This window comes from Homo sapiens, chromosome 19, assembly GCF_000001405.40.
Source record: "Homo sapiens chromosome 19, GRCh38.p14 Primary Assembly".
NCBI lineage: Eukaryota > Metazoa > Chordata > Mammalia > Primates > Hominidae > Homo > Homo sapiens.
The window spans coordinates 55,680,723-55,692,817 of record NC_000019.10 but is presented as its reverse complement, the minus strand read 5'-3'; the positions used below and the strand labels follow the sequence as shown (position 1 = coordinate 55,692,817).

The following is a 12,095-nucleotide window of genomic DNA, read 5'->3' as shown; positions in this document are numbered from 1 at the left end:
TTCCCACCCCCATTCCAGTACCTGTTGTGCCATTGGTGCTGGGCTTGGCAGGTGACCCTCCCCAGGGATCTGAGAAGGCCGGGGCCGGTGTCCAGGGATCGGAGGCTGAGGGCCCACTGACCGGGACCCCACCTGGGTGAGGACAGAAGAGCATGAGGGGCTGGCAACCTTGACTGCCCAGATGGCTAGGGAGGACCATTGCCTCCAAATCTGTGGCTGTTCACACAAAAGCCCCCCTGCCCCCCAGAAACCCACCCCACCCGGCCTCCCGCACACACACTCAAATTCCAACTGGGCTTCTCTGCCAGGCTCTGCCCCTGGGACCCCAGCTGGGGTGAGGGGCTTCCCCGCAGCCTCTGCCAGACCTGCCCAGCCCTCCCTCAGCTCCCACGGCTCGGCCACCCCTCCCCTGTCCAGCTGGGTGTCAGGCCCCTTCTCCACCTGCACCTCCCAGCTCCACCCACCGCCCTCCCCAGATGCCTACGTCACACACGCTCTGCCTTGGCCAGAGCCTCTCTGCCCCTCGGCTGAGCTGCCATCCCCTCCCCACAGCACACCCCCCATGTCCTCCAAGGCACAATCTCACACACCCTGTGCTGGGCTCTCATCTGACCCCCGCCCTTGCCCCCTCCCCTGCACCCAGGACGCCCCACCACTGCCCGGCGCCACTGGCTCGATCTGTCCCTGTCCAAGGGCACAGTCAACCAAAGACAGGTGCACACAGGCGTAGGGGCTGCATGCAAGTGGGCCACGCACTCACCATCGGAACTTCCCCATGGATCAGGCGTGGGCCCCTCCCCAGCTGCAGGGGCTGGGGTCCCACCCCAAGGGTCAACTGAGGGTCCTGCAGGGGCAGCAGGCCTCCAGGGGTCCCCAGAGGCCGGCGTGGGGGCTGGACCTCCCCAGGGATCAGCAGCTGGAGGGACAGGGGGGCCGCCCCAGGGGTCCGAGGTGGGGGCAGCCGTGGGGACGGCAGCAGCCATGGGTGCTGGGCCCCCCCAGGGGTCTGTGGTCGGGGCAGGAGCTGGGGCCGTGAAGACGTCAGCAAGGTCCATGAGGGACGACTGTGGGGGAGAGAGAAGAGAAGGAGCATGAAGAAGTGGTGGGAAGCCTGGGACAGGGACCAAGCTGGGGCCCGTGGCGGGGGAGGCGGCCAGGCCCTGGGTGTCCAGACAGCAGCCATCCATAAGGGGTGAGAGGGAGGCAGGCCCCAAACACACCACCTGGCCTCCCTCCTCATCCGTCATGGGGTCGGCCCACCCCTGCCCACCTACCCCACCCGAGGGTACCACCAGGGAGCCCCAACACAGCCCCACTCCTGCCCCACATCCATTCTCCACACTGCAGCAGGGCAGCCCCTTAACTCCACCTGCTCCCAGGTCCTTGCCCGGCCCTGACTGAGGATGGAGGCCAAGCCCTCCCCTCGCTCGACCCGAAGCAGCTCGATCCTCCCTCTGCCCACCGTGCCTTCTCCAGCCAGACTGGCCAGCCCCTGCTCCATGCCTTCCCCTGGGAAGCCCCCCATGAACCCACTCAGGTCAACCTGAGCACCCCTCACGATGCCCCCTACGTTGCCCCGCCGTCACCCCGCAGTCATCGCGCTGCAGGCCTTCCCACGCCCATTGCCCCACTGTCACCCCGCAGTCATCGCACTGCAGGTCTTCCCATGCCGCACGCACACGCATGCATGGTCCTGTGTTCTGGAAGTGGGCACACGACGGGCCCAGCTAACCAGAGCCCGTCTCAGAACGTGCAGATGCCCCCAACATACTCATGCACACATCTCCAGTCAGCACCCGTGAGGCAAAGGCCCCGGCGGGGATGGGAAGGGGAGAAGAGCTGAGTCCAGGGCAGGGCAGGAGAAGAGATGGGTGAGATCTGGTGCTCCCCCAGCAGGGCAGCCCTTACTCGGGTCACTGGGCTGTGGTGGACACTGATAGAGACCCCCTGGCCGAGGCCAACCTAAAGAGGCTTTCCGTCTACCAAGAAAGTCCCACTGTGCCTGATCACTTATGGCCACAAGCTGTCTGCCGCCTCCCATGGAGAGGAGGCCTTGTCCCCACCCCTCAAACTTGGGCTGGCCTCAGGACCTGCTGAGACCAATAGCAGTGCACAGGCTGACGAGGCAACTCCAACCCAGCCCGACGAGCTTGTCCTGGGGGGCGGCAGCAGCAGCAGCTACTGTGCTATGAGGACACTCAGGACAGACTAGTAACCAGGGAGAGGCCAGGGGAGGAGGCTGGAGGGCAAGGCCAGTGCGGACACCCCGGGCCCAGAGGCATGAGTGACCTCAGCCATGACACGAAACAACCAGCCAGCGGGCCCGTCACAGGGAAGTACTGAAGCGTGACCTGGAAGCACAAGGTTGTGGGAGGGTTTGCTACTCAGCTGCAGAGCATGGGGACGCCACAGAAACAGTGTTCGCGAGGGCGGGACCATGCCTCCTCGCTCACCAACAGGCCCTGGGTGTGCAGCACACGGCCTGGCACCAAGGAGGTGCCCGACAAAGTGTGACAGATGGGGCGAGCCCTGCACCCTCCTCCCTGTGGCCATGCCAGGCTGTTGGCCTATTCTGGGCCTCCCCATTCAGCTGTGGCGGCCGGTGGTGGCCCTCACGGTGCTCAGCCCGAAGGGGGATGGCCAGCGCTGACCACAGGAGGTGGCCGCAGGGCAGCCTGGTCAGTCACCGGCCTCAGCCCAGCAGGGAGGGAGAGGCACAGAGAGGCCGACCAAGCCTGGAAACCCGGTGCCCAGCTCCAGGACCTTGTGTTTCAGTCTCTGCTCCAGGGACCTGGCCACGCAGGAATGAGCGATGGGACGGACGGACACCTGCAGGGGCCAGGGAGGGCAGAACAAGCCCCGCTCACCTCCTCCTTGCCCCCAGTCTCCCTCTTGCTCTCCTCGATTGCCATCTGCAGCCGCAGGTCATCCCCGCGACGGATCCGCTCCTCCTGTTGGGGCACGGGCACGACCAGGGAGACATGAGAACGTGAGCCACGGGCAGATGCCACCTCAGCCTGGAAGCCCCAGCAACCCCTCCCACCCCAACGAAAGCGGCTGAAGGATTCGATGGGATGCGGACAATGTATGAAATGGGGATGGGGCACCTGGGTCAAAGGTCAGGCGGGACAGGGGATAAGGGGAGTGGGGTGCTGTGCTGGCGCACCCGGGGAGGACGGGCACCCGCCTCGGTGGTATCTCCTGCGTTGGGGGGAGGAAGGGACCCTGGTCACCCGAGCAACCTTGGCACAGCTGTGCTGGCCACCACCCAGGCTCTGTCTGACTTGTGGTCCTACATCCTACGGCTGAAGGTACTGAGGTTTCAACACGCGTGAGCCTGTGGGCTTCGGGCCCAGCAGGATGGTGGGGGGTGACTTAGGAAGGGGCGACGGGGCTGGTCTGAGGGGAGCCCCTGGCAGGGGCAGGGACAGGGAGGCTGCTCTGACCTTATCATGCTCTTCTCGGCTCAAACTAAGGGCCAGCTGGAGCTGGGCGTCGTCCTCGGGGCCGCAGGACGGGGGCTGGGGGAGAGAGAGTGTGAGGGGCATGACGGGAGGGGCCAGAGGCAGAGTCAGAGGCAGAGCCAGGGTCAGATAGAGCCGAAGAAAGAGAGGGCTGGGGGTCCCTGAACCAGTGAGGGACAGGCAGAGAGTGACACGCAGAGGGACGGCGGGGTGAGGATGAGGCAGGACTGGGGAGGAGACGAGTGACAGCATGTGGAGCAGCGACAGTGAGGGCCAGGCCCACGCCTGGCTGGGAGGGAGCCTGAAGTGAGGCGTGGAGGCGGGTGGCGGACAGACAGCCCCAGCTGCACGCCCAGTACCTGGTCGGCCTCCTCCTTGCTCATGGCCAGGGCCAGCTGGAGCTGCAGCTCCTCCTCCCCGCTGCTCTGCGGCCACGCCTGCTCCGCCTCGGGAGGGGGGCCTGAGCCCACAGCTGCTGATGAGGCTGGAGGGCGGGTGAGAAACGCGTGAGACCCAGACCAGGGAACGAGAGACAGGAAACCCCATAGCCTAGACAGACGGGGGCTTCTGTGTCCAACCCCACCCCCCAAGTCCCCCACCCTACAACCTCTGCAGGCCAAGACTAGGACTGAGAGGCGGAGACCAGACGCCAGGTGCTCAGAGGAGGAAGGGTGGGGATGCAGGCAGCCCCACCCACGGGAGGGGCCAGGCATCAGGGAAGGACCAGAGCAAAAGTCAGTCTGATAAGCAGGTGGGGAACCCCAGCAACCTCTGAGCCCTGCCACCACCAGGACTCTCCGCGTGCCTGGGGTCTGTCCCTGGGCCCCTGGGGGATGGGAGGTCCTTCCTCCCAGGTTTCCCAGGCCTGTTTCCAGGGCTTGTTGAGAATGGTAGCTCTGGCAGGGAACAACTGGAATTCAGAGGGGAGAACAGCATCCATTGAGACAGCGGGATCCAAGGCCTAGTCGGGGTTAGGGAGTGGGCTAGCGAGGAGCCCTTGGTTCCAAGAGCAGGAGGGGAAGGGAGAGAGAGGACACAGGAAGGCAGGGCCGGACCCTCCAGGAGGCTGCTGAGATATCCCCGGCCTCCACTGCAGCATCCTCTCAGCAACCCCGCCTACCCTCAAACTCTGTCCTGACACTGTTCTCTCCACCCCCAAGGCCTGTGGACCCTTGCCCCCCTCCACAGTGCAGAGGACAGGCTCCAACCAGGCCCTAGGCCCGCCGAGCACAGGGCCATTGCCCCAGCCTCCAAAGCCCCAGGGCGGACCCTGCCTCTCCTGCCCCGCCCTCCCAACCACTGTGCACTGGTCAGCAAGTTCTGTCTGCTCCAGCTCCAAGACGCCGCCTTGCACCTGTGTCCTGTACTTGTGTCCCCACCCAACCCACTCCCCAGGCCCAGGCCTCTCCCTGACGAGCAGGCCCTGGCTCCCCTTGCCCGGAGCCGCAGCAGGCAGCTGTCTGGCGGCCCCACCTGCACCGGGTCCAGGGGCCCCCAGGCTGGCCCCCGTGTGGTGTGCCCAGCAGGGCTGGGTGCATGGGATGCTCCAGGGAGCATGTGGGTGGCAGAGCGGGGCCGAAGGGTGACCATCTGGGGTTATGAGTGAGGAAAGGACGAGAGAACCAGCAGGGATTGACGGACTTGGGTGGGTAAGCGGCCTTCTGAGGGGATGGGCAGATGGAAGGGCAGCGTGGGGCACAGGTGAGGCCAGCGCACAGGGAGGACCACACCCCTGTGGCCCCTCCTGCTCTTCCCTGCCCCTGTGACTTCCTCCTAAGCTCTAGGGACTCTCAGAGGTGAGTGCTGGGAATCTACACCCCATTGCCCAACCTCTACCTTGCACATGCCCCTAACCCCCCAGCCTGGTGGTGGCTAAATCCAATGCCCAGCAGCCCTGAGGGCCCCACCTCCCACATCACAGGTAATACTGGCACCCAGCCAGCAACACCCGGGCCTTCCCATCACCAGAGCACCCAGCCTCGGTGCTGCCCGGGGACCACAGGCCCTTCCCTGCCCACTGAGGGTCTCAGGGCTCACTCCCTAGCTGCCCCCATCCTCCTCCCCAGCCACAGCCCTCCACACAACTCACTCCAAGACAGGGGCCAGCACACCACAGTGGCAGCCACAGCTGGCCTGAGAAGGTCTAAGAAAGGCCTTTACATTTTTCAATGGTTGGAAGAAATGAAAAGAATGCACCAAGATGGGCGAAAATTCAGAGTACCCTTAAAAAATTAAATAACAACTTAAAAGTCTTAAAAAAGACACGTGAAAACTACATAAAATTCAAATTTCGGAGACCTTGGTGAGTGTCGGAGGGGTGCAGCTGCTTCCCAGCAACCGCCAGCGGACGGGGCCAGGCAGCTAGGATGGGAAGGCGTGGCCAGCAACGCAGAGGACATTAGCTCTGGCCTTGCACAAAGTCTGACGACCCCCGAGCCAGGATGTCCCACCCTCAGGCCTCTTACCTGAGGCTCCCACTCTCCTCCGAGCTACTGCCAATGTCCCTCCTCCGTCCACCCCAACCCCGCCACCCACCTGCCTGCCTGCCTGCCTCGAGCTGACCAGCCCCTCTCTGCCGCCTACACTCCCTCCTGTTGTCCCTGGCTCTGAGCACTCCCACGCCACACCGGCTTCCTTCCCTCCACTTCACTCTCTCTCTGCGTTCACGCCCATCTACTGGCTCGTGGGTCCCTACTCTGGAGTCCCAGGCAGGGTCGCACACACCCCGTCACACCCATGTCTCCCCGTGGGTGCTGAAAGGTGATCCCAAATGAGACCCGTCCAAACAGAAGGCCTAGACTTCCCCAAACAAGTCCAGTCCCTCGAGCCGGACCCCACGAGGGCCACAGGCCCTTCCTCCTGTCTGCACCGGCCTGGCTGACCCACCTCCACCTCCAGGGCAGTGCTCTAGCAGCCCCTCCCCATCCCACGTATCCCCACTAACTGAGGCACCTCCACTCTTCCTGGAGAGCAGAAGAGCCTGGCAGACATTCTCCAGCCTCCCTCCCAGTCCTGAGCAGCCGGACTAGCCTCTTCACGGCTGTGAGCCCCCGACCAACACAGACCACACTTCCTGGAACAGTCCGAGACCCACACACCCATCACATAACTGGAAATGTTTCGTGGGACAGATCTTGGCTTGACGATGTGGGATGCACTATTTCAAGTTTTGTTTTCGGTGCTGGTCACCACCCACCAGACTGAGTCCTCCACCTCCAGAAGGCACTGTCAAGGCTCCTAACACAGGCCCAGATGCCTGGTGCAACCTGCAGGCCCTGGCTCTGGCCTTCCTTCTGTGCCTCTTCCAGGCCCCCCTCTGCCTCTCCGATGTTCCCCTCATCTCAGCGCAGAGAGAAGGACAGCACCCTCGGGGGTCACTGTGCGTGTCCCCTCAGAGCCCTGTCCCCAGCACTGATCACCCTCAGGCCCTGAGCCTATGGGGGAGCGGAATAAAAGTTCCCAATTCTAGGCCTGCCCTGGGGCACGAGGCAAGAGGCAGGAAGGGTCCCAGAGCTGCTGCATGGGAGGTGCTAAGGGAAAAAAAGGGCCCAAGTGAGACCAGAGCAAGGGGCCCAGGTGAGGAGAAGCAAAGGGGGATGCCGCGGTCCCTCCTGGCTGGGAGAGAAAGCAGTGGGCGGCCGGGTGCCGGGAGCCGCAGTAGGCGGAGGACAGACTCTAGGCCGTCAGGGGCCGCAGGGAGGGACTCACCCGTGGCGGTCTGTGCCAGCTTTTCCTTGGTCTTGAGCGCGTGCGCCCGCTCTTCCCGCAGCCGGTCCTCGTCGCGCAGCAGGGCCACCAGCTGCTTAGCTTTCTCACGCACGTTCACGCCCTGGTCCTTGCCGTCGCGGTCCACGTACTGGAAGTCCTTCAGCGTCTGCACGGCGTACATGTTCTCCTTGCACTGCTGCGACACGCGCTCCGAGCCGGTCTTGATGAGGTACTCCATCAGCGTCATGGCCTGCGAGCGGGCACGGGGATGCCCGGTCAGCACGCCGGGCACAAGGCGGGCCAGAGACTGCCTGCGACGCGGGCTCTGGGGCGGCCGACTGGGCGCAAGGCCCACAACCCACCTGTCGCCAGTGGGTGGACACACATCTGTCCCCACAGAATACGACACGGCCATGCAAAGGAATGAACACAGACCCACGCTGTGACGGGGACCAGCCGCGGAGGTACTGCGCTCAGCGACAGACGCCAGCACAGAACGCCACACAGCCTACGGTTCCATCGACGTGAATCATCCAGAATGGGCAAATCCAGAGAGACGGAGTGGATTGTGGGTTGCCAGGGGTGGAGGGAGGGATGGAGAGGGACCACCTGAAGGCTATGGGTTTTCCTTCTGGGGCAATGAAGACGTTCTGGAGCTGGACAGAGGTGGTCGCCCAGCACTGTGAATGGGCCGAAGGCCACTGAACTGTGCGATATGAAGGGGGCTGCACAGTGTAGGAGCTCCATCTCAATCCAAATAAAAGAGGAAATGGCAGCTACAGGCACCACAGCCGCCATGGGCATCGCCTGGCATCCTGGAGCCCTGTCTATTTCTTTACAACTAAAATCTAAAGTAACATGGCCAAGAAAACCACATTAGTTAAATCACAATGAAGGGGGTCTTAGTACTAGTTTGAAATGTGTATTTCTGACTGTAAAACCTCACGCTGGTACTAACAGCCTGGAGCAGTAGTTTATCACCTCTGCAAGAAGGGAAGAGATCCACGCAAGGGCCTGTGTAGGCCCGGGCTCTCTTGGGAGGGGCACCCAGGTTCCACACCACCAGGAGCAAAAGGACAGGGCGGAGGGAACATTATCGTTCAATCTGCACCCTTTGGTATGTTTGTATTTTATAATACGAAAACAAACTCCCTTTCAACAAGTTGAAATTAATAGTGGGGGCGGGGGGACCAAGGTCTCTGAGGCTCTCCCTAGCTCAGGCTCAAGTCCTGGGCTTGAGGAGTCATGGCCCCCTTAAGGCTCTGCAGGGGGTGTCTTGGTCACTGACCTCAAAAAAAGGCACAACTTTGATTCTGCAGGGGATTCCAGGGCCTTCACAGAGCCACAGAAACCCACCCAGGGCTCCTAGGGGAAGAGTCAGCTATCACAGCTAAGCTCCGTCTGAACCAAGGAGAAATCTGCCAGGAAAGATGCCAGGGCCATTCATATCTCCTCACCCTCTGAGGCAGCTGGACCTAGCTCTGGCAAGGCCTTTCAAAGGTGTGTTAACAGTATTTACAGTGTAATCAGAGATTAGTCTTTAACCGGCCCTCAAGGTATTTACACGAAAGAAAGGAAAGCAGGTAAGCCATTGCTATGCCTGATCACACCCCAAGCCAAGAGGCAGTCCCAGGTCCACAACTCCTGGGGCCCTTGTGTTTTGGAATTCAGAATTTTCCTGAGTTCAGACCAGGAAAATAACGCACATACAACACATAAGAGAACGCGCTGGGCAGAGTCGTGCCAACAGCCACACTACTGTGGGACCAACAGACACCATGTGAACGACCTCACTTCAGTCTGGGTCAGACTTTGTGCCGAACGGATCATGAAACACTTTCGTTTCCAGAGCTCTCTGGACTTTGGTATCGCAGCTAAAAAGATTGTGAAGCAGGAAATAGTGCGAATACCCACGCACAGTGAAATGCATACATCAACTATGGCACGCTCACACAGCGGGACTACCACATACACTGAAATAAAAGAGAAATGAGGCCAGGTGTGGTGGCTCACGCCTATAATCCCGGCACTATGGGAGGCTGAGGCAGGTGGACCACCCGAGGTCAGGGGTTCGAGACCAGCCTGGCCAACATGATGAAACCTGTTTCTACTAAAAACACAAAACAACTGGCCAGGTGTGGCGGTGCACACCTGTAATCCCAGCTACTCAGGAGGCTGAGGTGGGAGGATCCCGTGGATCAGGGAGGCAGAGGTGATAGTGAGCCAAGAGCACGCCACTGTACTCCAGCCTGGGAGACAGAGTGAGACTCCATTTAAAAATAAATAAATAAGGCCGGGCATGGTGGCTCCCACCTATAATCTTACCATTTTGAGAGGCCAAGGCGGGCAGATCACAAGGTCAGGAGTTTGAGACCAGCCTGGCCAACATGGTGAAACACCATCTCTACTAAAAATACAAAAAATTAGCCAGGCATTGTGGCATGCGCCTGTAATCCCAGCTACTCAGGAGGCTGAGGCAGGAGAATCGCTTGATCTTGGGAGGCAGAGGTTGCAGTGAGCCAAGATAGCACCACTGCACTCCAGCTTGGGCAACAAGAGCGAAACTCCATTTCAAGAAAAAACAAAAAACAGGCTGGGCGCGGTGGCTCACACCTGTAATCCCAGCACTTTGGGAGGCCAAGGCGGGCGGATCACGAGGTCAGAAGTTCGAGACCAGCCTGGCCAATATGGTGAAACCCCATCTCTACTAAAAATACAAAAATTAGCCAGGCGTGGTGGCAAGTACCTGTAATCCCAGCTACTCGGGAGGCTAAGGCAGGAGAATTGCTTGAACCTGGGAGGCAGAAGTTGCAGTGAGCCGAGGTGGTGCCACTGCACTCCAGCCTGGGCAACACAGCGAGACTCCGTCTCATAAATAAATAAATAAGAAACAATAATTAAATAAATATATAAAATCGGGTGCAGTGGCAAAATCCTGTAACCCCAGTGCTTTGAGAGGCTAAAGTCGGTGGATCGCTTGAGTCCAGGAGTTCAAGACCATCGTGGGTGACATGGCAAAACCCCAGCTCTAAAAAAATAAATAAATAAAATAACAAAAAATTAGCTAGGCGTGGTGGCACATGCGTGTCATCCCTGCTACTTGGGAGGCTGTGGCAGGAGGATTGCTTAAGCCCGGGAGGCAGAGGCTACAGTGAGCCGAGAACATGTCAACGCACTCCAGCCTGGGCAACAGTGAGACTTTCTCAAAATAAATGAACAACTGCTTTATGCAACAGCACGGTCAACCTTGCTGACCTGATGGTGATGGTGAGCAAAAGAAGCCAGACACAAAAGACCACGCGTGTGACTCCACATATATAAAGCTCAAGAACAGTCTTGGCAGACAGAAATCAGACACGGTGCTGTGGGAGACAGGTCTCCTGAGGAAACCTGGAAGGCTGAATGCATCCTCTACCTCCCTCTAGGTGAAGGCTACACAGGTGTCCACATGCGTAACAGCTGTGTTATACATTCATGATGTGCTTAGTATACAACTTCTTAATGAAAAATTTAAAACCTTATTTTAGAAGTGAGCAAGTGGGCCAGGTGTAGTGGCTCATGACTATAATCCCAGCCCTTTGGGAAGCCAAGGCAAGAGGATCGCTTGAGCCCAGGAGTTCAAGACCAGCCTGGGCAACACAGTGAGACTGCCATCTCTACAAAAAAATTTAAAATATCTTAAAATTAGCCGGGCATGGTGGTGTGTGCCTGTGGTCCCAGCTATTCCTCAACCATGCTTGGAGCCCAGGAGGTCAAGGCTCAGTGAGCTATGACTGTACTGCTGGATTCCAGCCTGGGCTACAGAGCAACACTTTGTCTCTAAAAAAGTTAAAAAAAAAAAAAGTTTGCAAAATAAGTCATTATTTCTCCTTTGCTTTTCTGAAAACAACCAAAAAGCAGTGGGCAACTGCATAAAATGATAGTCCTTCTTAATGTTAAAGACAGCTTTATCAAGGACATCCTGCAATGCAGAAATAAAGTTTAAAACAGGGATCAGCAAACATTTCTGTAAGGAGCCAGATGAAAAACATTTCAGTTTTTCAGGCCATATACTCTCTGTCTCAACTACTTCACAGCCACAGATGAATGGGCCTGGCTGTGTTCCAATAAAACTTTATTTACAAACACAGGCTGTGAGTGGGATTTCACCAGTGGGCTGTACTTTGCTGACCCCTGGTTTAAAGCCAAGACTGAGACCCTGCATTCCTCAGAAGTGAGGTGGCAGTGCAGGGCCCAGAGGGTGGGCTCGGGGCTCCTCTTGGCTCTACCACCTCCTGCGAGGTAGAGCTGAGCTCCTTTATGTCTCAGTTCCCTCATCTGGAAAACAGAGGAAAAGGAGAAAAAGAACTTCCTTTACAGGGTAACCGTGGATTTCATGAGAACCTGTGTGTGCTACACGTACAAGGTACCAAATAAACGCCGGCCCTTACTCACCAATACTCACCCCCAAGGCCATGCAGGGAGGCCGTGCAGAGCCAGGCCTGCAAGGCCCCCACAGCTCACCCTCCTTCTCCACGGGGACAATAAGGCCCACAAAGTGCCAGCCAGCAGGGCCACAGGGTGGGACAGCCTGGGCTCTGAACAGATGGGCCCAAGCCCCAGCTCCCCCACGAGCCTCGGCAGGCCACCTCCCCCGTCTCTGGGCCTCAGTTTCCCCATCCATCAAAGTGGAAAGACTGCTCCTGCACAACCCACCACCTGGGGCTGAAGTGACAAGATGAGACCATGTGGCGAAGGGATGGTGAGAAGCAAGAGGACTCGCCCTCATGCCAGAACAGGTCAGCACAGAGGGCTCCGGAGAGGGCCAAAGGGGGTGTAGCAGCTTCACAGTGGCTCAGGGCCTCTGGGCCTGTGGGGTTGTCCTCATCACCCGTACTTCCAGAAGGGGACTGCGGGATAGAAGTGGTCAGCCAGGAAGGGAGG

General features: G+C 59.3%; 1 protein-coding gene across 4 annotated transcripts in view, besides 1 other annotated feature; it reads right to left on the bottom strand.

Annotated features, from left to right (window-relative positions):
* Positions 1-12,095, bottom strand: part of EPN1 (epsin 1) — a 34,308-nt gene that overhangs the window by 16,716 nt on the left and 5,497 nt on the right. For 2 of the 4 annotated variants that reach the window (NM_001130072.2, NM_001321263.2), the window contains exons 3-8: positions 7,173-7,422; positions 3,824-3,948; positions 3,447-3,521; positions 2,868-2,951; positions 761-1,064; positions 22-132 (exon numbers count right to left, since the gene is read on the bottom strand). In NM_001130072.2, coding sequence (NP_001123544.1) covers positions 22-132; positions 761-1,064; positions 2,868-2,951; positions 3,447-3,521; positions 3,824-3,948; positions 7,173-7,422 — 949 coding nt within the window. The remainder of the gene's footprint in view (positions 1-21; positions 133-760; positions 1,065-2,867; positions 2,952-3,446; positions 3,522-3,823; positions 3,949-7,172; positions 7,423-12,095) is intronic. The other 2 variants (NM_013333.4, NM_001130071.2) reach the window with 1 other exon arrangement.
* Positions 11,525-12,025: an enhancer, noted in NCBI's record as "H3K4me1 hESC enhancer chr19:56192159-56192659 (GRCh37/hg19 assembly coordinates)". NCBI's record gives its function as "activates a minimal SCP1, AML or CMV promoter by ChIP-STARR-seq in naive H9 embryonic stem cells {active_cell/tissue: H9 hESC(naive)}" and the evidence as "EXISTENCE:reporter gene assay evidence [ECO:0000049][PMID:30033119]".